Source organism: Homo sapiens, chromosome 9, assembly GCF_000001405.40.
Source record: "Homo sapiens chromosome 9, GRCh38.p14 Primary Assembly".
NCBI classification, from domain to species: domain Eukaryota; kingdom Metazoa; phylum Chordata; class Mammalia; order Primates; family Hominidae; genus Homo; species Homo sapiens.
The window spans coordinates 77,329,764-77,357,450 of NC_000009.12; the positions used below are offsets into that span (position 1 = coordinate 77,329,764).

A 27,687-nucleotide genomic window follows, 5' to 3' on the forward strand; every position below is an offset into this window, starting at 1 on the left:
AACATTATAAAACAAGGTATGTGTATATATGAATTTACTACTTTTGATAGTCAGGAGAAATGGTATTATTCAAAATAAAATTTGCCCACAGTTACACAGCTAGTAATCAGCACTGCCAGTATTTATCTCAGGTTTTTTTCAGTTTAACATCTATGTTCATCCTGCTATCATATTGCTGTTGTGTAGTCATAAACTTTAGGAATTGTTCCAGCAGGATAGCTTACCAGCTTACCTGCAACACGCTTCTGTTTCTTTCTTACCTTTGTAGTTTTTGAGACACAGGGTCTTGCTCTATCGCCCAGGAGTGCAGTGGCATGATCAGTGCTCACTGCAACCTTGACCTCCCAGGCTCAATAATCCTCTCACCTCAGCCTCTGCAGTAGCTCGGACTACATGTCTGCACCACCATACCTGGCTAATCTTTTAATATTTTGTAGAGACAGGGTCTCACTATATTGCCTAGGCTGCTCTTGAACTCCTGAGGTCAAGTGATCCTCCTGCATCAGCCTCCCAAAGTGCTGGAATTATAATAGGTGTGAGCCACTGCGCCCACCCACTTTTATACAGACGGATGCTTCCTTTTCCTCTGCTCCCTTAGACTTTTCAAGCTTATGCTCATTCCGTTTTCCAGACTTTTGATCTTTCCTTGAAATTTCAACTACTAGTTATTCTCAGCTTCCAACCAACTTTTTCCGCACTAAATTTGAAAGGGAAAACAAAGGAAGCAATATCAGACTTTGGTAACTAACTTCACATTCCAAACAGGCACCATTTAGAAGCATGTGTTTCTTAATAGGCTCCATTTACATCAGTGATAAGTTGAATGTGAAGTTTATTTGGAATTATATTTATAATCAGAAAATATGTTGGAAAACTTGCAGTTAATGTCTGTTGTGGAATGCTCTGGATGTTGGTTATTGGTTTGATAGTGGACTTTGAAGTTTATTGTAATACAGATGTCTCCATCCACACCATGGAATTTAAAAAATATAGACATTTAAAAATGTTTCCCTCAAATTAAAAAAAAAAATACATGAAGTTGAAGTCAGCTGTTTTGTTTCCCTCTTAGTCCACATTCCCTCCTTCCTTCTTCCTTGAGGTAATATCAATTTGGTGATACGTTGTGTATATTTCCAGTACCATATTTTAAAAACTATTATTCCTGTCCAGAAAATATATACTTGTGTTTTTAGTGTCTTACAGAAATGTTACACTGTTCACCTTGTTTTGCTATGTTCTGTTTTCATTCAGATATTCGAAGTGTAACCATATACTGATATATAGGTCATTATTTTAATGATGTTACATGATTATATGGATTTGAAGAAAATTTTCTTATTTTTCTATTATTGAGATTGTTTTCATTTTCATTTTTTTTTATAATGAAAGTGGTGTGGTGAACATCAGTGTCTTGAATGAATGTAGTGAACCTGAATGAATACACATGTGTAAACATTTCTCTAGGTATGGAACTAGGAGCAGAATTCCTAAGAAGAAAGTACATTTTCATTTTTACTAAGTTTTTGCTGAATTATTCTTCAAAGTTATTTTATCAATTTACATTCTACCAGTAGTGTATGTGAGTTCCTGTTCACATCATTTTCAACTGTTGATATCACCATACTTCTGATTTTTTTTGCAGTTTGTTGGTATTAAAAGATACTCCATGAATATAATTTGTATTTTCTTGATTACTAGGAATGTCAAGTATCTTTTCATCTGTTTATTGGTCAGTTTTTCCATTCTGTGAATCATGTTTACATTCTGTTCCTGTTTTCCTCTTGATTGCAACTTTTTTAATGATTTTTAGGCTTTTTGAGTGTGGTGGTTATAAACCCTTTGTCAAGTATATTACAGATATTTCCCAGCCTGTAGATTGTCACTTTTATCATATAAATATTTAAAATTTTGATTTTTTTCTGTGAATTTTTTTCTACTATTTTTATCTAAACAAAAACTTATCTTTAAACAAATTAGTCCCTATCCTAAAATCAAAAAGATATTATCTTATTCCCCTGTAGGATGCTTAAAGTCTGTTTTTGAGATTCCTATTATATAAAACTATAGAGATTTTTCTTGTATGTTTTAGGATAAATAATATGTTTGTTTCTTTTCTAATTTATATAAGCAAGATGAATATTGCCTGATAGTTCCTTTGTTAAGATAGTTACATGGACATATTTTTTTTACACATCTTTAGATTCTTAGATTAATGATACTAAATATTATTTGTTTTTCTTTCCCAGATAAGAAATCATTTTTCAGTCCCACTGTCTGTTTACGAAGGGGATACCTTATTGGGAACTGCCTCACCTGAAAATGAATTCAACATACCATTAGGATCTTACCGGTATTTTGTCTTTATCATTTTATTTACTCTAAAATCTCTTGTAGAATTTTTAGTTTCTGATTTCACATGGATAACTTTGATCAAATCCATCCTGCTAATAGCTTATCTAACGTATTTAGGTTTCAGTGCACTTAGATCTTAAAAAAGAAGTATTATTTAATTTATTGTAATAACTTATACCAAGCACACTATATATGCTTTTCTCTTAAATATAATTATATTTTGATTGCAATATAACCGTCATAAGCATAGTCATATGATTATGAGTTTTAAAAATGTCTAATAGATCATGCCTGGTGGTTTCTGAATTTATATATACTATTATGAAGTAATTTGTACTTCTCAAAGGTTTTATAATACAATTTTTTTGAAATTCCTTTAGTAAACAATATTTTATCCTTTTCTTTTCATATTTGTTCATTGTTCAGGGTTGGAGTTGTAATATAAATAGAAGTATATACTATATTAATTTTAAATTTTTAAAGTAATTAAATTTGATACAATATGTTTTAAGAAAATATTAAAATTATAACAAAATATGAGCTAGTCTTATAGATTTTATATCATAACAAGTAAGTATTAGTCAAGATATGTAATCTGGAATTGAAAATAATCTCTTATGTGGAAATTGAACCTTATTGGAGAATAAAACTGTTCTCAGAATTAAGCATTGTAGTTTGTTTAAATACCATTTTAGAATACACACTAGAAATAGGTACTTACCTCAATGCTACAGAAGGACAGAGGCAAAACTGCAAACAGTGCTTACCTGTTCTCTTGTCCAGAAGTTCAGAATGGGATCCTCAATGCTCCGAAGACAATCTAGCAGTTTTAGGCACCTATTTTCACATAGATCGACCTGCTAAACCTAAAGAGTGTTTTATTGCTTAGTTCAGACTTGCTGAGGGAAAGAATTGTATTGTTGAGAGAACAACAAAATAGTCATTTACAGTATCTGACCTTGCTCTAGAGAGGATTTGGGGTGGGTTACAAGACTAGATTAAATATGGCATGTAAGATATATTTAAAAATTTCTGTGAAGAACTTTCATTTTCTTCTTGGATAATAAAAGTTAATGATATTCTACTTTTTAATACATTTCTGCTATATATTTTGTATCTCTGTCCATAGTAGAGAAAACAGTACCTTTATACTTTTTCCAAGGCTGAATATTAATTTGTTACATGATAGTTAATCCATCTTAATGAGAATTAGTAGTGATTAATTCATCTTAATGAGAATTGTTACTGACTAAGTACTTCATCTTAAGTAGAATTATTAGTGACTAACCAGCTTGGATTTCTCATTAGGCATTTTTTTTTTTTTTTTTTTTTTGAGATGGAGTTTCGCTCTTGTTGCCCAGGCTGGAGTGCAATGGCGGGATCTCAGCTCCCAGGTTCAAGCGAGTCTCCTGCCTCAGCCTCCTAAGTAGCTGGGATTACAGGCATGTGCCACCATGCGCAGCTAATTTTGTATTTTTAGCAGAGACAGGGTTTGTCCATTTTGGTCAGGCTGGTCTCGAACTCATAATCTAGGTATTCTTTTAATCTAGTACTTCAGTATAGGTGCACTTATATTTAAGATGTGAGGTTTTAAATTAACAAATGGCTATCTTTCTCTATTCTATTTCTATTCTTAGATTAATGATACAGATAAATATAGATGCAGATAAACACAGGAAAACAATTTATATTTTATTAAAATATTTAAGTAGAATTTAAATATACTGATTCTTTTATTCATTTAACAAATATTTATCAAGGTTTTCTGTGGGTGAGACACTCAATACCAAGATGAATTGCATGTGGCTATTGCCATCAAAAGATGGATATATTACATAAATGTATAAAGTAGGAAACAGTGGGTTATAGAGAGTTATAGAAAGTGTTAGAGTTGCCAAAAACTGTGGAAAACATAAAAGGGATTAATGACTGACTCCTGGGCAAGATACATGAAGTACGGTAACATCTGTAATATAGTAATATGGAGATTAGAAGGAAAAGGCTATCTAAGAGGAAGGCATGCATGAACAAAGATAAGGAAGCATGAAAGCATAGTGTTAAAAGGAATAGTTGGGAATTTGTTGGAATGTAGAGTGCATGTTGGAAGATAAAATTTGAAAGATAAGTTCACAGTTAGATGGTTGCTCCCTCATTTTCTTGCTCCATTTTTATAAATTTTATCTCCATCTATTAGTTTGATCTGTTTTTTTCTTCTTGTCTCAGATAATTTGATGTTCTGTTTCAAGACCATTCACACTACCATATCTTCTCATTTAAAACCTCCTGTCATTGATTATCTTTCTTTCCTGTTTTCCTTATTCATTCCTTGAACTTTCCTTTGACGTTTTATATTTCTCTTACTCAGATTTTCTCTTCAGAACACCCTTTTTGGGAAAATTGTCACTTGGCAAATACCTTGCAGTCTGTCTAGAAAGAGCCAACCACTCTGCCCTCAGTCTACTCTAAACATATGTTTTTTGGTACCTATCACAATGCAGTAGTTATCTTTTAACATTTTAACATTTCCCACCTGATTATGATCTTACTCATTTGTTTGTTTTCAATTTTGCCTTCTTGTTGGTACATAATAGGTCCAATAAATGTTTTGATAAACTGGATAAGTGTATTACGATTAGTTTAATTTGGAAAAAATTAAGGTTTTGTCTTTAAGTATTAGAAGTAAGAGTGGAAAATAGAATGAAAATTATAGAAGGAATGTAGAAGTAGAATAGGCTATATCTGTTAACTGTTTTGACAAATAATTTATATGCTTCAGTCAGGTAAGAAGGAAGTCTAATTGTTTCACAGTCCAGGGTGCCAGTAGCTGGAAGTCACTGAAAAAGGACATGCAGAAAAGTGGGTAGAGTGGGTTCAGTGTTCAGTCTAGCAAATTTAAGGTGCCATCAGAAATTACTACAGAAATACATCATAGATATTTGACATTTTAGGAGTAGAGCTTAGGAAAATAATCAGGGTTGAAGATAGTTTTGACCATTGTTCATCTATAAAGGACAGTGTTGTCTCATAACTATAGCTAATTAGTTTTACAAATATAAAAATATTTATGAAATGTTTATTCTTGGCTACAGTGTGGGTTCAAAAATTAAGTATAAAATATTGCTGAAATGTAAACAATGTAATATTCAAATATAAAGATTAACCATGTGACAACCAATAATTTTGTCACCATTTTCTTAAAACTACTCTTCTGCAATGGCAAAAAAATCCAAAATTGACAAATGGGATCTAATTAAACTAAAGAGCTTCTGCACAGCAAAAGAAACTATCATCAGAGGGAACAGGTAACCTGCAGAATGGGGAGAAATTTTTGCAGTCTATCCATCTGACAAAGGACTAATATCCAGAATCTACAAAGAACTGAAAAAAATTTACAAGAAAAAAACAACCCATCAAAAAGTAGGTGAAGGATATGAATAGACACTTCTCAAAAGAAGACATTTATGTGGCCAACAAATGTATGAAAAAAAGCTCATCATTACTGGTCATTAGAGAAATGCAAATCAAAACAACAACAAGATACCATCTCACGCCAGTTAGAATGGCAATCGTTAAAAAGTCAGGACACAACAGATGTTGGAGAGGATGTGGAGAAATAGGAATGCTTTTACACTTTTGGTGGTAGTGTAAATTAGTTCAAGCATTGTGGAAGACAATGTGGTGATTCCTCAAGGATCTAGAACCAGAAATACCATTTGACCCAGCAATCCCATTACTGGGTATATACCCAAAGAACTATAATAAATCATTGTACTATAAAGACAGATACACACATATGTTTATTGCAGCACTGTTCACAATAGCAAAGACTTGGAACCAACCCAAATGCCCATCAATGATAGACTGGATAAAGGAAATGTGGCACGTATACAGCATGAAATACTACGCAGCCATAGAAAAGAATGAGTTCATGTCCTTTGCAGGGACATGGGTGAAGCTGGAAACCATTCTCAGCAAACTAGCACAGGAACAAAAAACCAAACACCGCATGTTCTCACTCATAAGTGGGAGTTGAACAAGGAGAACACATGGACACAGGGAGGGGAACATCACTCCCTGGGGCCTGTTGTGGGGTGAGGCGCTAGGGGAGGGAGAGCATTAGGAGAAATACCTAATGTAGATGATCGATTGATGGCTGCAGCAAACCACTATGGCATGTGTATACCTCTGTAACAAACCTGCACTTTCTGCATATGTATCCCAGAACCTAAAGTATAATTAAAACAAAAACACTAAAGCAGAAAAAAAAATAATAAAGTAAAATATCATACTGATGTTTAAAAAAAAACAGCACTGTTCCGCATCTATTGACTACGTTTTAATAACATTAAATATTGATTGAAAACTTTCATTTGATTAATGTTGGAAAGCTTGCGATTATTTTTTCAATAGTAATTTTTTTTAGTTTATGAATTCAGTCATGGCATTTATTTCCTTTTAGGCCCATGTATCCAGAAAAGCCAAATTCTTTCAGTTATATATGCAAGTCACAGATGATTCTATGTGGTTTTCTTTGCATATATAACTGATACGATTCATGTATTTTTATATGAAACCATTTATAAGTGTACTTTTAAGATAGTAAGTTTGTAAGAAAAATATTCTCCTCTTAAAAGTCAAACAACTTGATGAGCTTCCAGAAAGTTAAGATGATATCTATTTATCTATCTTTTTTTTTTTTTTTTTTTTTTGAGGCTCTGTCGCCCAGGCTGGAGTGCAGTGGCGCAATCTCGGCTCACTGTAAGCTCTGCCTCCCGGGTTCTCTCCATTCTCCTGCCTCAGCCTCCTGAGTAGCTGGGACTACAGGCGCCCATCACCATGCCCGGCTAATTTTTTTGTATTTTTAGTAGAGACGGGGTTTCACCGTCTTAGCCAGGATGGTCTCAATCTCCTGACCTCGTGATACGCCCGTCTCGGCCTCCCAAAGTGCTGGGATTACAGGCATGAGCCACCGCGCCTGGCCTTATCTATCTTACTTATATCGTAAAAAGTATATGAAAATATAAAAATGTACTACAATATTATGAAAGGAGGTAAGTTTGTTATTCTAAAGCTGTAATTATATAGTTTAATATGTTTTCCTTTAAAACATTTTAAACTGTATCATTTAATCTCATGCAGATCATTCATTTTTCTGAAGCCAGAAGATGAGAACTATCAAATGTGTGAAGGAATTGACTTTGAAGAGATTATAAAAAATGATGGTGCTCTTCTAAAGAAGAAATGTAGATCTAAAAACCCTTCTAAGGAATCATTTCTCATTAATATTGTTCCAGAAAAAGATAATTTAACATCTCTATCAGTGTATTCAGAAGATGGTTGGGATTTACCATACATAATGCATTTGTGGCCACCTATCCTGCTCCGAAATCTTCTTCCTTACAAAATTGCTTATTATATAGAGGTATCGGCAAACTGATTTAGTGCCTTCCTGTTTTTGATTTTGTAGTTTCAGTTTTTTAAGATTAAGATCAATAAAAACTATTTTAAAGATCTAATAAAAATTAGAATACTAGTAAAGAATAGGTAATGCAGATATTCTTTTGCAACAAGTATGAGAATTATTATTGAAATAACATTTAAGAACTAGACTTCAGTGACAAAAAAGCATGCTACATTATGTTGTATTCTTTTAGTGCTGATTTTCTTAAAAGATTGTATACTTTGTGAAGTTGCTTTTTTTCTTTCATACTCTGTGTGGTTTCTTCCTGTTGTTATAGGAATCCATACATCTTAAGATTTTATGTAAATATTTCATTTGCAGTGCTTATCAAATGGAAGAAAGTAGTTCTTCATTGTCATCTATTATAGGTTTATTTTACTTTTAGAATTACCATTTGCTTTTTAAAAAAATTTTTTTGAGACTAGGTTTCTCTCTGTTGCTCAGACTGGAGTGCAATGATGCGATCATAGCTCACTGTAGTCTCAAACTTCTAGGCTCAAGTGATCCTTCCACCTCAGCCCCCCGAGTAGCTGGGACTACAGGTGCATGCCATGCCTGGATAATATTTTTTAATTTTTAATTTTGTAGGGACAGGGACTCACTATGGCTTGTCTTGAACTCTTGGGCTCAAGTGATCCTCCCGCTTCGGCCTCCCAAAGTGCTGGAATTACAGGCATGAGCCAGTACACCCAGCCGTTTACACTTTTCTGATACATGTCTCTTTTGGAGGAAAAAGTTAACATATTTATGGTTTTAAATGTGTATTTCCATATTGAATAACAAATTATCATAGTGGTTAAGAATTTGTACTTTGCTGTCAGGTAGATTTGAAATTGCATCCTAGCTCTGTCATTTGCTAGCTGTATGTTCTTAAGCAGGCTTTATTGCTTTTCTAAATCTTTTGCTGTGGTCTGTAAAATGAGAATAATAATAAAATTTGCTTGGTTAAGACATGGGGGAAATCAAATTAGATTGTGTATGTAAAGGATTTGGTACAGTGCCTCCCAGACACAGGGTTGCCATTTATTTATCACTCTAGCACTACCACCACCATTGTTATTTTGTGGAATATTATTTAACTTGTAAAGAATCAAGAACTCCTTACTTTTGCTTTAATTAATTTAAAATCATGAGATGAAGAGATTCCTATATTATAATAATAGGAAAAGAATAGGATAGAGATGCTGGAAAAACTGGTGAGATATTCAGATGTACTGTCAATTTATATTTCTGTTCTCATAGAACTTTTAATTGGATGCTGTTAGTGATCACATTCTGTCTGCCAGTTTCCAAAGGGTGTGATCAGTTTTTAGAAAGACAATTGAGCCATGGTGTGGGGAAGGGACTAGAGGGGACAAGAGCGGTTAGGGGACTCTTAAACTGAGACGTCATATAGTGACATGAACTAAGATAATAGAAGGGAGGGTCGAGGGAAATGAGCAGTTTGGAGAGATACATATGACGTAATAATATAAACAGTGATTGGAAATGGGTGATGAGGGATTGTGGAGGTAGTAGGGATTACTTATTTTGGATTACCATCAGTTTTTGCCCACATTTTACGTTGTTTTGTAGTTTTCAAAATAAAAATCACGAGTGGTTAAGATTGTCTTTTTGTCGTTGTTTTACCAATTATAGTGTTTTATGTTTATAATTTCCAGGGGAGTTTCCCATTATGTTATTTAATCTTCACAGTTTGTCCTTTGAAGTAAGTCATTTAGACCATTTTACAAATACAGTAGCTCAAATCTCAGATTAAATACCGTGTAGAGGTTTACACAGTTGACAAAGTTAGAACTTGAATGTAAGTCTTCTGACTTGTTCTGATAGGTATTTCAAAAGCATTTTTTGCAGCATTTGGAATACATAAATAGAATTTTGAGGCATATTATTCTGCAACATTTTAAATTTTGTTTTGTTTTTTTTTTTTTTATTACAGGGAATTGAAAATTCGGTTTTTACTCTAAGTGAAGGACATTCAGCCCAGATTTGTACTGCACAGTTGGGTAAAGCCAGGCTACATTTAAAATTACTTGACTATCTCAATCACGATTGGAAAAGTGAATATCACATAAAGCCTAATCAGCAAGACATTAGTTTTGTCAGTTTTACTTGTGTTACAGAAATGGAAAAGACTGATTTAGATATTGCTGTCCATATGACTTACAATACTGGTCAGACAGTTGTGGCATTTCATAGTCCTTATTGGATGGTCAATAAAACTGGCCGCATGTTACAGTACAAAGCAGACGGAATTCATCGAAAGCATCCACCTAATTATAAAAAGCCAGTTCTCTTTTCTTTTCAGCCAAATCACTTTTTTAATAACAATAAGGTATGCGATGTTTATTCTGTTTTTCCCTTGTCTTTAGCTACTTGTCACTTTTTAGTTTTTAAAGTTCTGAGTAATAAATATTATGAAACTTGGATAGAAATAACTTGTTAAATATTTGAGGCCAAAAAGATTAGAATTTAATATTATAAAGGTTTAGTGCATTAACAATATAATATTTTGTTTATGCTAAAAAGTAATTTATCAGTTTAAGCAGGAATTTTTAAAGGTACCTAAATTGTGATGTATTTGGAATATTTTTTTCCTAGGTTCAACTTATGGTAACTGATAGTGAGTTGTCCAATCAGTTTTCAATTGATACTGTTGGTAGTCATGGAGCTGTTAAATGTAAAGGCCTGAAAATGGACTATCAAGTGAGTTCATTCTATGCTTATCAAGAAACTTTTATTTTAAATGTTTCTATTAACTACTTAATTAAATTTTATAAAGATGTTATACATAACAGTTTTTGAGCTGTTAATTTTTTTTTCTTAGGTTGGTGTCACTATAGACCTGAGCAGTTTTAACATTACTAGAATTGTGACATTTACCCCTTTTTATATGATTAAAAACAAAAGCAAATACCATATATCAGTGGCTGAAGAAGGAAATGATAAATGGCTCTCTCTTGATTTGGAGCAGGTGGGTAGATGAATTTCAAAAATATACCTCTTTGGATTCTATTTTCTCCTTGAAGTTAGATACCTAAAGTCACCATGTAATGTTTTAACTCTCCCCTTACTCCAATTTTGTTTTAGTTTCATGAATCTTTATTGAATATTTGTGCCCTGCTCTAGATAGATGGGAAGGTTCAATTTTTAATAATTAGGTAACTAGGAATGCCCAGCTTGTTAAGGGAGGTAGACGTTTAACAATTACTAACCACTTTGGTTAAATAAAGCAGCCAAAGACTAGATAAGATGTAAATGCACCAAAGAGAAGGAAATTACTTATTCTCTCTAGGAAGCTATTAGGAATGCTTTCAGAGAGTAGGGTAAGCCAGACTCTTCTTCAAGTTATTTGAGGAGAGTAGTAACTTAGAAGTGAAATTTTGATTTTGTGCCATCATTAAATCTTTGAATAAGAGTTTTCTGAATGACTGACAGAGGTTGATGGAATATTTTATTTTTGAAGAACTTTTATTCTAAAAGTTAGGATTAGAGAAGTTTTTGCTGTTTCTATTCATTATTCCTTTTTGCATACAAAACCGTCCTTGTTGGGATTATTCTTGAAGTATATTCTTTAGAATTTCTTTTAGAGCTGGTTTTGAAGGTAAATACCATCAGTGTCTCTAGAAAAATCTCTCTGGCGGGAGGGACAATGATCGGGATATAAACCCAGGCGTTCCAGGGGGCAACGGCAACCCCCTTTAGGTCCCCTCCCATTTATGGGAGCTCTGTTTTCACTGTATTAAATCTTGCAATTGCAAAAAAGAAAAAAAAGAAAGAAAAATCTCTCTGGCTGCCTTCAGTCTTCTCTTTGTCTTTGATGTTCTGCAGTCACACTGCTATATGTCTATATGTGGTTTACTTTTTATTTACCCTTCTTGAGGTGCTTTACCCCTAGATCTGTGGATTAATGTATTTCATGCTTTCTGTAAAATTTGCTACTATTGTTTCTTTAAATATTGCCTCTCCTCCATTCTTCCGTTTTTTTCCATCTAAGCCGTTAAATCAGACATGTTGGACATTCATACTCTATCCTCCATGTCTCTTAATAGCTCTTTTATATTTTCCAACTCTCTTTGCTTCATTCTGAGTAAGTTCTACATGGACATCTTTCCTTTTTTTTTTTTTTTTTTTTTTTTTTTTTGCTTTTGCTGTGTCTGAACTACTATTTAAGTCTTCAACTGAGTATTTGAATAATTATAGTTCTTATTCCCAGAAATTTCACCTTTTTTCAAGTATATTCATTCTTTCAACAAATATTGTTTATTTTTTATGTGACTTGCAATATAATAGTTAAAGCCACAGTAGTTAAAGCCCATCTTTATGTAGTTTACGTTTTAGTGGGTATAAGGGGAAACATTAATAATACCGTAATCAATTAGTATATAGTATGTTTCAAAGTGACAAGTCTAATGTGGGAAAGTCTGATGTAGGATAAGGGACATTGAGAGTTCAAGAGCCAGGGGTGGTCTCTAATTTTATGTAAGGTAGTTAGGATGGGACTCATTGGAGTGACATTTGAACAGTGCCTTCGAGGAAATGAGAAAGTTAGCAATTGTCGAGAGCTCAGCTGAGGAGGAGAGAGCTGAGCTGCCAGGTGTCGGAATAGCTGATTAACACAAACCACAATGAAAGTAACAGTCAAACCTTTAATCACTTACTGTGATAGTACAGATTGAGCATCCTTAATCTGAAAATACGAAATCAAAAATGCTCCAAAATTCGAAATATTCCAAAATCCAGAACTTTTCAAGTGCCACCATGATGCCACAAGTGAAAAATTCTACACCTGACACTTTATGTTTTTCACTTTCTTAACTGTCATTTTTTTTTTTTTACTGTTAAGTACTTATGTGTGAATAAGTGTAAGAAAATGATTGTTTATTGGTAACACAAATTGAGAGTCAGAAATGATGGTGATGCCACACAACCACAGATTGTCAACATGGGTGGTTGAGATAGTGACACATTCTCTTTCTGATGGTCCAATATGTACAAGTTTTGTTTCATGCACAAAATTATTTAAATATTGTATAAAATTACTTTTGGGCTATGTGTATAAGGTGTATGTGAAACATAAATGAATTTTATGTTTAGAGTTAGATACCATCCCCAAGATATCTCATCATATATATGCAAATATTCCAAAATCCAAAAGAAGTCCAGAATGTGAAACACTTCTGGTACCAAGCATCTCGAATAGGGGATACTCAACCTGTGTAAGCAGGAGGCTAAATCAGAGAAAGCACAATTACCACCTGTGCTGGAATGGCACTGGACAAGGGTTAGGTGGATCAGCACAAACATGGGGATTGTCTCACCGTCTAGGAAACCTTGAACAAAGTGTCCGGCAGTTTTATGGACCTGGGGGATGGAGTAGGACAAAGCGGAGGAGCTAGGAATGGAAATATGCTGAGCACTGAGAGTAGACAAAAAGTGTCTTCACTTTTTGTGAAGTGACTATACCCTTGTTTTAAACTGATCATCTGTGTTCCAGTTCTCAGCTCAGGCGCTCCCTTTCCCCCGATAAAGAGGTCCTGCAGGAGCTCTCAAGGAAGGCCTCTGCCAAAAAGCTCTCATAAAGAGCTTCCGAATGAAGTGCCTGGGCTAGGAATGCAGACATGGATAAAAGCTTTGGGACAGGGTTGCTTGAATCCTTAAGACTGCAGTGCCCTGGCTGTGCGCAAAGTCAGGTTATATTCCTAAGCATGTCTCATATCTAGTTCCATTAATTCCATTTTATGGTTGAATAAAACTGTCTTTAACAAGCTAAGACACTTAGCTCTAACAACCAGGTTCTGCTACATTGTCCTCAAGTCATGTGATGATGATCAGGTATCACACATGAGCAGTCTCACTGAAATATATGAAGGGATCAGTCTGGTCAGGGCCTAAGATGGAGTTGACTTAATAGCTTACAGACAAGGCTGGTTCTTCATTCTTTTTCTTTTAGCTCTGTTTCCAGATTCTTTTGTCCAGTCTTCTCTGTAGTACCTTGACTATCTCCTATTCTTTTAGTTTGGTTTCCAGATCACTCACGTTGAAGTTATTTCGTACAATTCTGAGCTTCTTTCCTACTCTGAACTTTGAATACTACTTTTACTTTTTTACCCTTATTTGACAACCAGATGCTAGATTTAATACTTGTTTTGCGTACTTTGATTTCTGCCTAATTTCCAGATAATGTTCATACCTGATTTTGATTTTTAGTAACTGAATGTACACTTGTTTTAAGCCTGATCATCTGTGTCCCAGTTCTCAGCTCAGGTTTCTTGCTGATTTTTCAACCCTTCTCTGTAAGATCATGACCACATTAAAGTCTCTTTTCTCGCCAGCAGTTCACTTACCATAGCTCTTCAATTTGCTATCCACTGCTTCTTGAATGCATAGTGCTGACAAGTGACAATCCATCTTCAAGTTGAAAGTTTACAGCTGTTTAAACAACCCAATAACTAGAGCAGTGTTAAAACAGGTTTTTTTATAGTTTAAGTCTATTCTGATGGGAATATTAAGATGATTTATATATTTATGGTGAAATCTGTTTATTTTTATAAACATATATAATGTATATTTTAGTGTATCCCCTTTTGGCCTGAGTATGCTTCTAGTAAACTTCTTATTCAAGTCGAAAGGAGTGAAGATCCTCCCAAAAGGATATATTTTAACAAGCAGGAAAATTGTATTCTATTGCGTCTAGATAACGAGGTAAGTTTTTTTTTCTTTTTTGCATGTGTCATTAGGAAAGCTAAAATATACTGACTAGTATTGTATTTATTTTTTGTATCAAATAATTACTTCTGTTGATTTTTCCCCTTTCCCCAAAAACGAACAAACATTTCTTTTTGTAGAAGGAAACAGAGATCTAAGATAATTTAATTGTTAAATAAAAAGTTAGTTGGGGCCGGGTGCGGTGGCTCACGCCTGTAACACCAGCACTTTGGGAGGCCGAGGCAGGCGGATCAGGAGGTCAGGAGATTGAGACCATCCTGGCTAACACGGTGAAACCCTGTCTCTACTAAAGAAATAGAAAAAATTAGCCGGGCGTGGTGGCGGGTGCCTGTAGTCCCAGCTACTCGGGAGGCTGAGGCAGGAGAATGGTGTGAACCCGGGAGGTGGAGCTTGCAGTGAGCCGAGATCGCGCCACTGCACTCCAGCCTAGGCGACAGAGCAAGACTCCGTCTCAAGAAAAAAAAAAAAAAGTTAGTTGGAATGCCTGGAATACTAGAATATACCACATCTGGAATGTCACCTATCTGTAATACAGTGATTGAGATTATAGATTTCCAGAAATGCAGTACAAAATTCTGAATTGTTTTCTCAGTCATCCCAAAAATTAAATTATCAAGTTATGAATAGTCTGTTCTTAAATGTTATTAGTTAATATTCTTGGGAAAATGATTACATTAAAATGTTTTCTTTTTCTTTCTTCTAGCTTGGAGGTATTATAGCAGAAGTGAATTTGGCCGAGCATTCTACAGTTATTACATTTTTAGATTATCATGATGGAGCAGCTACATTCCTCTTAATAAATCACACAAAGAATGAACTTGTTCAATACAATCAAAGGTAAGATTATCACAAATACAGTAACTCTTGATGGTGTAAGTCTAGATGATGAGGCACAGTTTTTTTTGATAATTTCTTAAGAGTATAAACACTGATAATAGCATTGTAGCTGTGTAAAACAGTGTTCCATTAAAAAATGTACTTGAAGCATGTAGGGGTAAAACTGACTTGATGTCTACAATTTATTTTGAAATGCTTCAAAGAAAGAAAAATGGAAGAGCTGAAGCAAGTGTGGCAAAAGCTTGTTCATTGTTGACTCTGATGAGGAGTCTGTCAGAGTTTGTTAGGAGTCTCTGAATTTTGTCTATTTTTGAATTTTTTCATGTGTTTAATATAGTGTAAATATGTAAAATTTCAGATTTTTTTTTCAAACAGTAGGTACCCTCTTGTTGAGCTGTCTTGGGGAAAGGACTGCTTCCTTAAAGGCTATAATTGAATCTTCATGGTTTAGGACTACTCTTCAACATTATTCATTTTATTTGCTGTTATATCTTCTTAGTGCCACTACAGGTTATGCAAGTTTCTGATCCTCTACTTAGTAGTTCCAGGCTGTCTTGAATTTATTTTGTTTCCTTTCTTTCTTTCTTTTCACCTGTTACTTTTCAACAAGCACATATTTATCATTGCACTTCCACTTTCCTTCCACTGCTAACTGTACAACTTCTAATCATTGATTAAAATCAAACAGACATTGAGTAGGGACCACAGGGCTGGACTAGCAAGTACCTAAAACTCGTTTGGGGTAGCATTCTCTCATCTATTTAAGATGTTAAGAAAGAGGGATGCCTGTTTTTTTTAATTATCCATATTATAAAAATAATAAGTTGTTTCTAAACATGTGTGCAAGTGTCTTTTTAATATAATGACTTCTCTTCCTTTGAGAAGATACCCAGTACTGGGATTGCTGGATCAAATGATAGTTCTGCTTTTAGTTCTTTAAGGAATCTCCATACTGTTTTTCATAGTGTTTGTACTAGTTTACATTCCCACCAGCAGTGTGAAAGTGTTCCCTTTTCACCACATCCATGTTAACATCTATTTTTTTTTAATTTAAATTATGATCATTTTTGCAGGAGTAAGGTGGTATCTCATTGTGGTTTTAATTTGCATTTCCCTCATAATTAGTGATGCTGAGCTTCTTTTTATATGTTTCTTGGCCACTTGTATATCTTCTTTTGAGAATTGTCTATTCATGTCCTTAGCCCACTTTTGATGGGATTATTGTGTTTTTGTTTTTGTTTTCTTGCTGATTTGTTTGAGATCCTTACAGATTCTGGATATTAGTCCTTTGTCGGATGCATAGTTTGCAAATATTTTCTCCCATTCTGTGCGTTGTCTCTTTACTCTGCTGATTATTCCTTTTGCTGTGCAGTAGCTTTTTAGTTTAATTAGGTCCCATCTATTTTTATTTTGTTGCATTTGCTTTTGGGTTCTTGGTCATGAACTCTTTGCCAAAGCCAGTGTCTAGAAGAGTTTTTCCAGTATTATCTTCTAGAATTTTTATGGTTTCAGGTTCTACATTTAAGTCTTTGATCGATCTTGAGTTGATTTTTGTATAAGGTGAGAGATGAGAATCCAATTTTATTCTTCTACATGTGGCTTGCCCACGATCCCAGTACCATTTGAATAGGAGATAGTCAAAGTACCAGAAAGAAGACTGGACAAAAGAATCTGGAAACAAAAGAGCTAAAAGAACAAGAGTGAAGAACCAGCCTTGTCTGTAAACCATTAAGTCAACTCTATCTTAGGCCCTGGCCAGACTGGTCTCTTCACATCTAGTCCCTTCACTAGAATAAGGTGTCCTTTCCCTACTTCATGTTTTTGTTTGTTTTGTTGAAGATAATTGGCTGTAAGTATTTGGCTTTATTTCTGGTTTCTCTATTCTGTTCCATTGGTCTGCATGCCTATTTTTATACCAGTACCATGCTGTTTTGGTGACTATAGGCATTGTAGTATACTTTGAAGTAGGATAACGTGATGCCCCCAGGTTTGTTCTTTTTGCTTAGTATTGCTTTGGCTATGAGGGCTCCTTTTATGGTTCCATATAAATTTCAGGATTTTTTTTCTAGTTCTGTGAAGAATGTTGATGGTATTTTTATGGGAATTGCATTGAATCTGTAGATTGCTTATGGCAGTATGGTCATTTTCATAATATTGAATCTACCATCCATGAGCATGAGATGTGTTTCCATTTGTTTGTTAAATTTAAACTTTTAAATAAATATTCCCTTCTTATGTAATCTCCCCTGCCATTATCCTAGTTCAGTAACCCTCCATTTCTTATCTATTTGAGTAGATTTTTATGCGTTGTTTTGTTTTATTTGAGTAGATTTTTCTTTTTTGTTTTGTTTTGAGACAGTGTCTCAATCTGTTGCCCAGGCTGGAGTGCAGTGGTGCGATCCAGGCTCACTGCAGCCTCCACCTTCCAGGCTCAAGTGATTCTCATGCCTCAGCCTTCCAAGTAGCTGGGTTTACAGGCATGTGCCACCATGCCTAACTACATTTGAGTAGATTTTTTATCTATCTCTATATATCTAGTCTTATCTTTAGTAAATCTCCCATTTTCCACTAGAATGAGTTTTCTAAAATAAGAAATATAATCATATCTCTCTAGTTTAAAGTTTTTCTTTTTTTACCCATTTCTTTAAAAATATACTTCTAGGCTGCCTTTCTAAACATTTATCTTTCCGTGGCCTAAATCTTACCCTATACAAAGTGAAGTTTTTTTTTTTCCTGAATGCTCTGGGTCTTTCCATGTGTTTTTACCTGAATAGGTGTTTCTTTCAGCTAGAAAAATGCCATTCTGTAATTATTAAAAAATCAAGAAACAACAGATGATGGCAAGGCTGTGGAGAAATAGGAACGCTTTTACACTGTTGCTGGAAGTGTTAATTAGTTCAACCATTGTGGAAGACAGTGTGGTGATTCCTCAAAGACCTAGAACCCAAAATACCATTTGACCCAGCAGTCCCCTTCCTGGGTATGTACTCAAAGGAATAGAAATCATTCTCTTATAAAGATAGATGCACACACATGTTCACCGCAGCACTATTCACAATAGCAAAGACATGGAATCAACCCAAATGCCCATCAACGATAGACTGGATGAAGAAAATGTGGTACATATACACCATGGATACTATGCAGCCGTAAAAAGGAACGAGATCATTCCTTTGCAAGGACATGGATGGAGCTAGAAGCTATTATCCTCAGCAACAAGAACAGAAAACCAAACACCGCATGTCCCTGCTTATAAGTGGGAGCTGAACAATGAGAACACATGGACACAGGGAGGGGAACAACGCACACTGGGGCCTGTTGGGGGCATGGTGGCAGGGAGAACATCAGGATAAATAGCTAATGCATGTGGGGCTTAATACTTAGGTGTAGGTTGGTAGGTGCAGCAAACCACCATGGAATACATTTACCTATGTAACAAATCTGCACGTTCTGCACGTGTATTCTGGAACTTAAATTTAGGAAAAAAAAAAAGAAAAATGCCATTCTATGTGATCCCTTCCCTTGCCACCTTAATCTATGTACCCCAGTTTTTGATAGCACCTTTACATATGTAGATTGCAGCATTCGTCACATTGTGTTACTTTCTTGTGAGTTTGAGACATGTACACACAGATAGTGAATAGTCTGAGGACTATGGTTAGTTTCCCTTTTCTTGGAATTTTCATTGCCTGTCCCAGGTAGTCCAGTACGTTTTTGCATAAGGAATACTCTGCAATGAATTAAACAGATTAAAATTTGTATGAATTAAGAGCATTTTTAAATATTTTTAAACCAAATTTATTTGATAATCAACACATTTACATTTGATTTTTTTTTTCATGGAAAAATGAAGAGTATGATTTTGTTTTCTCCTCCACATTTCCTTCTCTTGGCTTTTAAAAAAATATGGATGTTATTTCCTGCATATAAAAGTAATAGTTGTTAAATTACTGTTTTAAAAAATACTACAGAAAAAATGTGAAAGAGGACCATAATCCCTGTAATCCAAATACTGTCAACATTTTGGTTCATTGCTTTTCCTTTCCTTTCCTCCCTCCTTTGTTCTCTCCCTCCCTCCCTTTCTTCCTTCCTTATGTATCTCTCACATTTGACAGCTATTGTGAGCATATCAATTTGCTTCAAAGCACAATTTTTTTTTCTTTCTAACTTTTATTATAGGTTCAGGGGTTACATGTGCAGGTTTGTTACATGGGTAAATTGCATGTCACGGGGTTTTGGTATACAGATTGTTTCATTACCCAGGTAATAAGCATGATACCCAATAGGTAGTTTTTCGATTCTCACCCTCCTTTTACTCTCCACCCCCAAATAGGTTCCCGATGTCAGTTGTTCCTTCTTTGTGTCCCTGCAAAGCATGATTTTTACTGAATGCGTGATATTCTATCATTTAGATGCTCTACAATTAAATAAATACTTAATTGTTCAGAATTTTTATTTCAACTTTTATAATTTTAGAATCAGTTTATCTTCTTTTTTTGTTGTTGTTTATTTGTTTTTTGAGATGGAATTTTGTTGTTTTGCCCAGGCTGGAGTGCAGAGGCGCGATCTCAGCTCACTGAAACCTCTGCCTCCCAGGTTCAAGCGATTCTACTGCCTCAGCCTCCTGAATAGCTGGGATTACAGGTGCGCGCCACTATGCCCGGCTAATTTTCATATTTATAGTAGAGACAGGGTTTCACCATGTTGGCCAGGCTGGTCTCAAACTGCTGACCTCAGGTGATCCACCTGCCTCGACCTCCGAAAGTGCTGGGATTACAGGCATGAACCACCGCGCCCAGCCCAGTTTATCTTCTAATAACGATCCTCAACCCATTTGTAATCATTGTAATAACTAGTTTATAATTCCTTACCATATTTTTTTGTAGTATATTGTCTTCTAATGATTTTTTGGAAAATACATATTCTGTTTCGGTTATGGATAATTCCTTTTTTGTTATTGAAGGTTTCGATACATTTAAAATCAATTTTAAGATTGAAACAGTATCTGCTAGCTTACCCATAAAAAATTGTAATGCTTTTTTACCTTTTCTTCAACCTCTTTCCAAATTCTTACTTTCTTGTGAATATAATTTGGTATGTTTTCAAACAGATTAATATAAAATGGTTAGCTTTTCAAAATATGTATTATTTCATTCAAGGCCCTTTTGGTATTTGCATTGATTTTAATGTTTTAACAAAAAAATGACTTTCTTAAACTGGTTTAATTGTTCACTACAGGTTCCTCAATATTTCTATATCCTAGTTGTTAAAATGTTGTTCTGAGTTCATCTCTAGCTTGGTTGGAAAAAGTCTGAGTTATTTTTTTAGTAAAGATTTGTGGATAGTGTTATGCTATTGCTTGTTCGAAATGTCTTATTCTTACAAATTTATGACAATTTGACATAAAATTTTAAGTGATAACGTTTTTCTCAAAATTGTATAGGTATTGTGCCATTGTTTTTTGATATTAAACATCATTGAACTGTGAGAGTAACATTTTTATTTTCTTGCGAGTGACTATGATTTTCCTAGATATGTGTTAGGGTTTTTTCCCCCCTATTTTCTTACAAAGATATGTCTAGAATGATACTGTTTTCATTTATGTCTGATACCCAGTGAAGTCTTTTAAATCTGCAGAGTTAATTCCTTCTTCTACTCAGAAGAGCTATATTTTATTACTTGTTTGGTTTATAACTTTTGTAATGTTTTTTTCTTTCTGAGCATCTTTTTGTGAGTCAACTGAATTTCTTAGATGTGTATTTCATGTTTTGTGATTTTAAAGAATAATTTAGTTACTTTGTTTTTGCTCTAGTAAGACCAATACTTAGGAAAGAGTTACCAATTAAATTATCTTAGAATTGGTATAAATAGGGTAAAATAGTTGGAATAATTTTCCATAATTAATTTGTATTAAAAAATTGACAAAACAGTTTTAAAGACTTGAAGACCTTTATTTCCTAAGTAGAACATGTATTTTCTAAGTGGGAAAATAATGAGAAATATTCATTAGTGAACCCTTTTTTAATTGTATAAGGTAAGAATTTCAGCCTTGTTTTAATCAGAACGATCACAGATCTCAGTGAACTAAGAATTAATGAAGTATTATTTTAGTTTTTTTTTAATCTCTTCGTGTACTTGCATTTAATTTAACGCGTATTTTTGCTACTGTGTCAGTTCTCTCAGTGAAATAGAAGATTCCCTCCCTCCTGGTAAAGCCGTGTTTTATACATGGGCTGATCCGGTGGGCTCTAGAAGGCTGAAGTGGAGATGTAGAAAAAGCCATGGTGAAGTAACACAGAAGGATGTAAGTATTGGGTTATTATGGTGTTCCCAGCAGCCTTTTTTAAAAAAGGTATTTGGGCCGGGTGCGGTGGCTCACGCCTGTAATCCCAGCACTTTTGGGAGGCTGAGGTGGGCCATGAGTTGGAGATCAGCCTGGCCAATAAGGTGAAACCCTGTCTCTCCTAAAAATACAAAATTCACTTTGGGAGGCCAAGGCAGGCGGATCACCAGGTCAGGAGTTTGTGACCAGCCTGGCCAATATGGTGAAACTCCGTCTCTACTAAAAATACAAAAATTAGCCTCGCATGGTGGCGGGTGCCTGTAGTCCTAGCTACTAAGGAGGCTGAGGCAGAAGAATCGCTTGAACCCGGGAGGCAGCGATTGCAGTGAGCCAAGATCACGCCACTGCACTCCAGCCTGGCGACAGAGCAAGACTCCGTCTCAAAAAAAACAAACAAAAAACAACAGTATTTGATTTTCAGCCTTCCTAGTTTTAAGGACTTTTTGTGGCCACACTTCTGAAAAACTGCCAAACGTCTTCAAAATAGTATTCAAGTATTTACTTAACCAAAAATGTTTAAAACCAAAAGTAGTCTTATTTTGTTTACATCATTTGCTTCTACTGTGTTATAAAGAATAAAGTTGTGTTTAGAGAAGTGCTTTCAGCATTCACCTGAAAAACAAATATGTTCTCTGCATTGACAATCATACTAGGTAGATTTAGCTTCTGTAAGGAACATTTAAGGATCCACTGAGTGAACTAAAACAAACTTATTTCTGAGTGGCAAGCTATGATGATAAAGTTATGCACATATATTTTCTGGTAACATTTTAAATACTTTCAGAAAATTTTTAAAAGTTTTTAATCCTTCAAGATTCATCTTAATTTGACTCCTGATGTTTTTTTTTCTTACCACTGGTGATTTTTTCTTCCTGCTTATCAGTAGGTGGTATTTTCTCATTGTCTTTCAGTGCTGCTGTTGAGGAGTCTGCTGTGGGTATTGTTTACATTGTATTTAAGAGGATTGCCTATAAGTGGCCTTTCAGTTTTAAAAATTCATTACTATTAGATTTATTCAGGAAAAAAAATTGTACTTTGATATAAAAAGTCTTATTCATTTGATCTGTTGATTAGTACTTTGCATATTTATATCATAGTGATAGTTTGAAGCTTATAAAGATAAATCAGACATTCACTGTAAAATATTAGAAAGACTTCAGTGAAATAAGTTAGTCTTCTTGATTCTCAATGTGGTTTTAGTGATATACATATATATACTTAGAAAGTATTACAAGTAAGGTAAGTATCCCCAGATAATTATTTTATGGTAACAACTCACAGTTTTTAATTTCTGTATATTGCAACGTGAAGGTATACTATATAGTAAAATTTTCTGAAAATCAGAATATTAACTAGAAATTAATGGCTGAATATTAATTATGAGAATTTGCTATGTTTATCTTGTCATTGACCCTCAAAACCCTGATATCAGCACATTTATGTGAGATTCCTGCAGAAATAGCCTCATGATGAATATACATGCTTTGTAGAACATACAATTGAGATACAAGATATTTTTTATCCTGTTTGATTCAGCTATGAAAGGAAATGTGAATTTCAAACTGAAACAACTTTTAATACATATCACATTGCTGTAGTCTTAGAATAAAGCAGAAAAAAATACTTTGTGTTACAGATTAGCCTACGTGGGAAGGTTCAATTTTATTAAAATGTTTAAATTAAAAAAGTAAACAATTGGCCTGTCTTTATGAGTAATAATTTTATAACAGATAACATCAAATGATTTCAATAATGTAAATTTGCAAGTATTCTACAAATATTAATTCATTTAGTTGCCACTAACCCCATGAAGTAGGTGCCATTAATAGTCTCATTTTATAAATGTGAAATCTAAATTTCATGTTCTTTGGGACCAAATTCTAATTTTTTGGTTTTTTTTTTTTTTTGGTGGTTTTATTCTAGGATATGATGATGCCTATAGATTTGGGGGAAAAGACAATATATTTAGTTTCATTCTTTGAAGGTTTACAACGCATTATTTTATTCACTGAAGATCCAAGGGTATTTAAAGTAACATATGAAAGTGAGAAAGCAGAGTTAGCAGAGCAAGAAATTGCAGTGGCATTACAAGATGTTGGAATTTCTCTTGTCAACAATTACACGAAGCAAGAAGTAGCCTATATAGGCATTACAAGGTTAGATGCATTAAATTTTGGATACATTTAAATGATCAGTTTCTAATTGTTAAGAAATTGTTATTGTAAAATCTCAAATGATTTAGTTTCAGTTTTGTGCTTTGACTATTCATTGATACTGTGGTAGTGCTAGTTTTAAATGTGCTTGAGGGAATTTTTTGCCTTTTGAAATAAAGATATGGCAGAAATCAAATTTATAAACTCCTTATTATGTTAATCCTTCCACTTATCTAAAAAGTTATATTTATTCAACTTGCCAAAAGTATGTTTTGCATATCATACAAAATGCTTAGTTCATTTTCCATTACCATCTAGCACAGTTCAGGGTACATATGCTGTAGCTGTTGGAGGATTAACATAGACAATCACTTTCTAATTTGACCTTGGCACTTTAAGATCTAATAAGATCTAATAAGGTGATCACTGTATTTATCATTTCTCGTATAAGACATCACCATTAAATCTTTTATCTCTCCCTTATGTCCTTATTATTCCTATTCATAAACAGTTGTTTTAATTTACATATATTAGTGCTTAATGTGAGAATATTTCTTCTGTATAACCAGGATAATGTAATTTTAATCCTTTTCTTGAATTAAATTCTTGAATATATATAAAGGTATATGATACAGATGTAAATTTAGTTTTCTATGTACATTAATCTATACGTGTCCCTGACCTCTTATTGAATTGAATCAATGCCATTTTAAAAGGAATATTAAAATCTATATTCTTAAGAATTTTTATTCTCAAAAAATGTTTTTACTATTTAAATAGATCAAATACACCATAGATTTTTAAGACCTTTAGACCTATTATATGTTATCTTCTAAGCTAAGTGATGTTAATGCAAAGATGAATAATACATGGTCTCTACCTTTCTGTTTCTTAAATGAATATAAGTTCTATAAGGAATAAACAAATAGAATGCTTTAATAAAATTAAACAACTTAAATATTTAAGTAACATATGAAAGTAACATATGAAAGTGAGAAAGCAGAGTTAGCAGAGCAAGAAATTGCAGTGGCGCACTCTATATCCTAGATAACTATTTTATACTTGTCTCCCCTTAAACCCCCATTGTGTCAGCTTACTACCTTGCATTCCACTTCACTGAAAAAATTGAACCCATCAAAAGCAAACTTCCAGAGACCCATCTCACCCCCCAATATCACAGCTTGCTATCTACCAGCGTTTGCATACTACTTGCTGTACTGACATACTCTCAACAGTTTACAGTAGATATATGTGCTCCTGTTTAAACAGATTTTTCTCTACTTTTGCACTGTACTTCATTTCCTCTTACCTACTTGAGGACATTGTTCCAGCAGTCCTCTTCTTCATCTCTCCTAAGTCAACAGCTTTTGGGTCTCTACTGAATTGTTTCAGTGTTACTTCTCTCAACATAAAAAATTCTCTTGAGCCTACTTTCCTTGCTACCTGTTGCTCATTTCTTTCTTTGCATTTATAACCAAACACCTCAAATGTACTGTCTGTTTCAAAGGAACTTAACATATCCTGTGTTCTCCAACTATTTTTCATCCATTTTCTCTTTAACCACTCCAAACAGGGTTTTGCTTTCAACACACCATGAAACTGGTTTTGTCAGCATTACCAGTGACCTCCATAATGCCATATCCAGTGTAGAATTATCGGTCTTTACTTAATAACATTTAACACAGATCCCTCCTTGATGTAGTTTCTTTCACGTGACTTCCAGAATACCTCACCATCTTGGTTTTTCTTCCTATCCAGTCTCATTCATTGGTTCCTTGTCTTCTCTCAACTGCTTACATTGGCTAAATGCCTTGAGGCTCTTAGACCTGGTCCTTTTCTCTTGTGGATTTCAGTTTTATGATTTCAAATACTGCCCAGAATTTCTCTCTTAGGTATGTCTTCTGTCACACCTGTCATCTGACCTTAAGACTTCATATATCCAACTGTGCATGCAAAATCTCTATTCAGATATCTAAGAGACTTCTTAAACTTCATATGTGTACACTAAACCTTTTATTTCCTCCTTCTACCAAAACTCCAGCTTTCCAATCAGAGTTAATAAAAAATAGCTCCTTCTAGTTATGCAGCCCAAAAATATTGAAATTGTCTTCGATTCCTCTCTTTATCTTACACCCCAGACCTAATTCATCAAGAAGATCTGTGCTGGTTCTACCTTCAAAGTGCACATAGATCTGACCACTTTTCTAGTATCTCACTGTTAATAGCCTCATCAGGGCCATCACCATTTTTCAACTGGCTTACTGTAGTACACTAACAAGTTTTCCTGCTTCTAATCTTGACTCCACTCTTTTTTCTTTCCATCCACTTCAACACAGAGTGTATTCTTAACGAAATGTAAGTCAGATTATGTTGTTAGTTGTCTTATAACCGATCAGTGGTATCTCATCTCACTCAGAATAAAACTCAGAGTCTACAGTGGTCTACAATGCTTTACATTATTTGGCCCCCCACTATAAGTCTTACTTTATTTTCTATTCCTAATGTGTTCCTGACATGCCAGCCTCCTTGCTCTTCTTCATATACTGCAAGTGTGCCTCCTGCTTTAGCTGGCCTCTCTACCTGAAATGTTTTCCTCCTCTTGTCTGCTGGATAATTCTCTCAGCTCATTTAAGGTTGCCAAAATCTCACTTTCTCAATGAATCCCCCATTGACCACTCTAATATTGAAGACCCCACCACTTTACATATTGCAGTTCTCCGGATCCCCCTTGCCTTGTCTACATTTTCTTCTTTCAAAAGCATTTTCACCTCCTACATATTAAATTTTACTAATTTATTTTGTTTACTATTTATTTTCACTCCCCCACTAAAATGAAGCTCCAGAATGACAGAGATGTTCACTGATAACGGCTGTAACACCTAGAATAGTGCCTCAGTAGTAGCTTAATAGGTAGTAGTTGAATGAATTCATGTTTTTAAATTTGTAATATGCTCACTTGTAATTGAGGCTGTTCTGAAATTTTAGTGAAGGTATTGTAATTCATGTAATAAACCAGTTAAAATAAATGTTAATAACTTAGTATTAAATACTATGATTTTTGCTTTCTTAAATAAGTTCTGATGTGGTTTGGGAAACAAAGCCCAAGAAGAAGGCAAGATGGAAGCCAATGAGTGTAAAGCACACTGAGAAGTTAGAGAGAGAATTTAAGGAATATACTGAATCTTCTCCTTCAGAAGATAAGGTTATTCAGTTGGACACTAATGTTCCGGTAATATTTTTAAGTACTGATGTGAAGTTTTAATTTTTTGCCTGTCGTAGTTTGGTGAATCACTAGTGAAATTTAAGGAAAGTTTGGCTTCCTTATAAAACAAAATAATCCTGTCATACATACCTTGTATAAAATGTTTTAAAGAGGTGTTTATCTATATTAAGAAATCAGGCTGGGCGCAGTGGTTCACACCTGTAATCCCAGCACTTTGGGAGGCTGAGGCAGGCGGATTACTTGAGGTCAGGAGTTCGAGACCAGCCTGGCCAACATGGCAAACCCTGTCTCTGCTAAAAATACAAAAATTAGCCAGGCATGGTGGCAGGCGCCTGTAATCCCCGCTATTCAGGAGGCTGAGGCATGAGAATGCCTTGAACCCAGGAGGTGGAGGTTGCAGTGAACCAAGATGGCCCCACTGCGCTCCAGCCTGGCTGACAGCAAGACTCTGTCTCAAAAAAAAAAAAAAAAAAAAAAAAAAGAAAAGAAAACTTTCTTTTAAGATACTAGATGCTAATGATCTGTTCTTTGGGTTAGCAGGAAACTTAAAAATGTTTTATTTTTTCACTGTACTTTCTTTAAATATTTT

The 27,687-nt window shown here is 34.4% G+C and overlaps 1 protein-coding gene across 4 annotated transcripts in view; it reads left to right on the plus strand.

Moving 5' to 3' along the window:
- The window catches only part of VPS13A (vacuolar protein sorting 13 homolog A), a 244,004-nt gene that overhangs the window by 152,230 nt on the left and 64,087 nt on the right, over positions 1 to 27,687 (plus strand). For all 4 annotated transcript variants that reach the window (NM_033305.3, NM_001018037.2, NM_015186.4 and 1 more), the window contains 10 exons: positions 2,247 to 2,350; positions 7,492 to 7,774; positions 9,753 to 10,148; positions 10,415 to 10,519; positions 10,641 to 10,787; positions 14,390 to 14,518; positions 15,246 to 15,379; positions 21,554 to 21,683; positions 23,646 to 23,878; positions 26,951 to 27,104. In NM_033305.3, coding sequence (NP_150648.2) covers positions 2,247 to 2,350; positions 7,492 to 7,774; positions 9,753 to 10,148; positions 10,415 to 10,519; positions 10,641 to 10,787; positions 14,390 to 14,518; positions 15,246 to 15,379; positions 21,554 to 21,683; positions 23,646 to 23,878; positions 26,951 to 27,104 — 1,815 coding nt within the window. The remainder of the gene's footprint in view (positions 1 to 2,246; positions 2,351 to 7,491; positions 7,775 to 9,752; positions 10,149 to 10,414; positions 10,520 to 10,640; positions 10,788 to 14,389; positions 14,519 to 15,245; positions 15,380 to 21,553; positions 21,684 to 23,645; positions 23,879 to 26,950; positions 27,105 to 27,687) is intronic.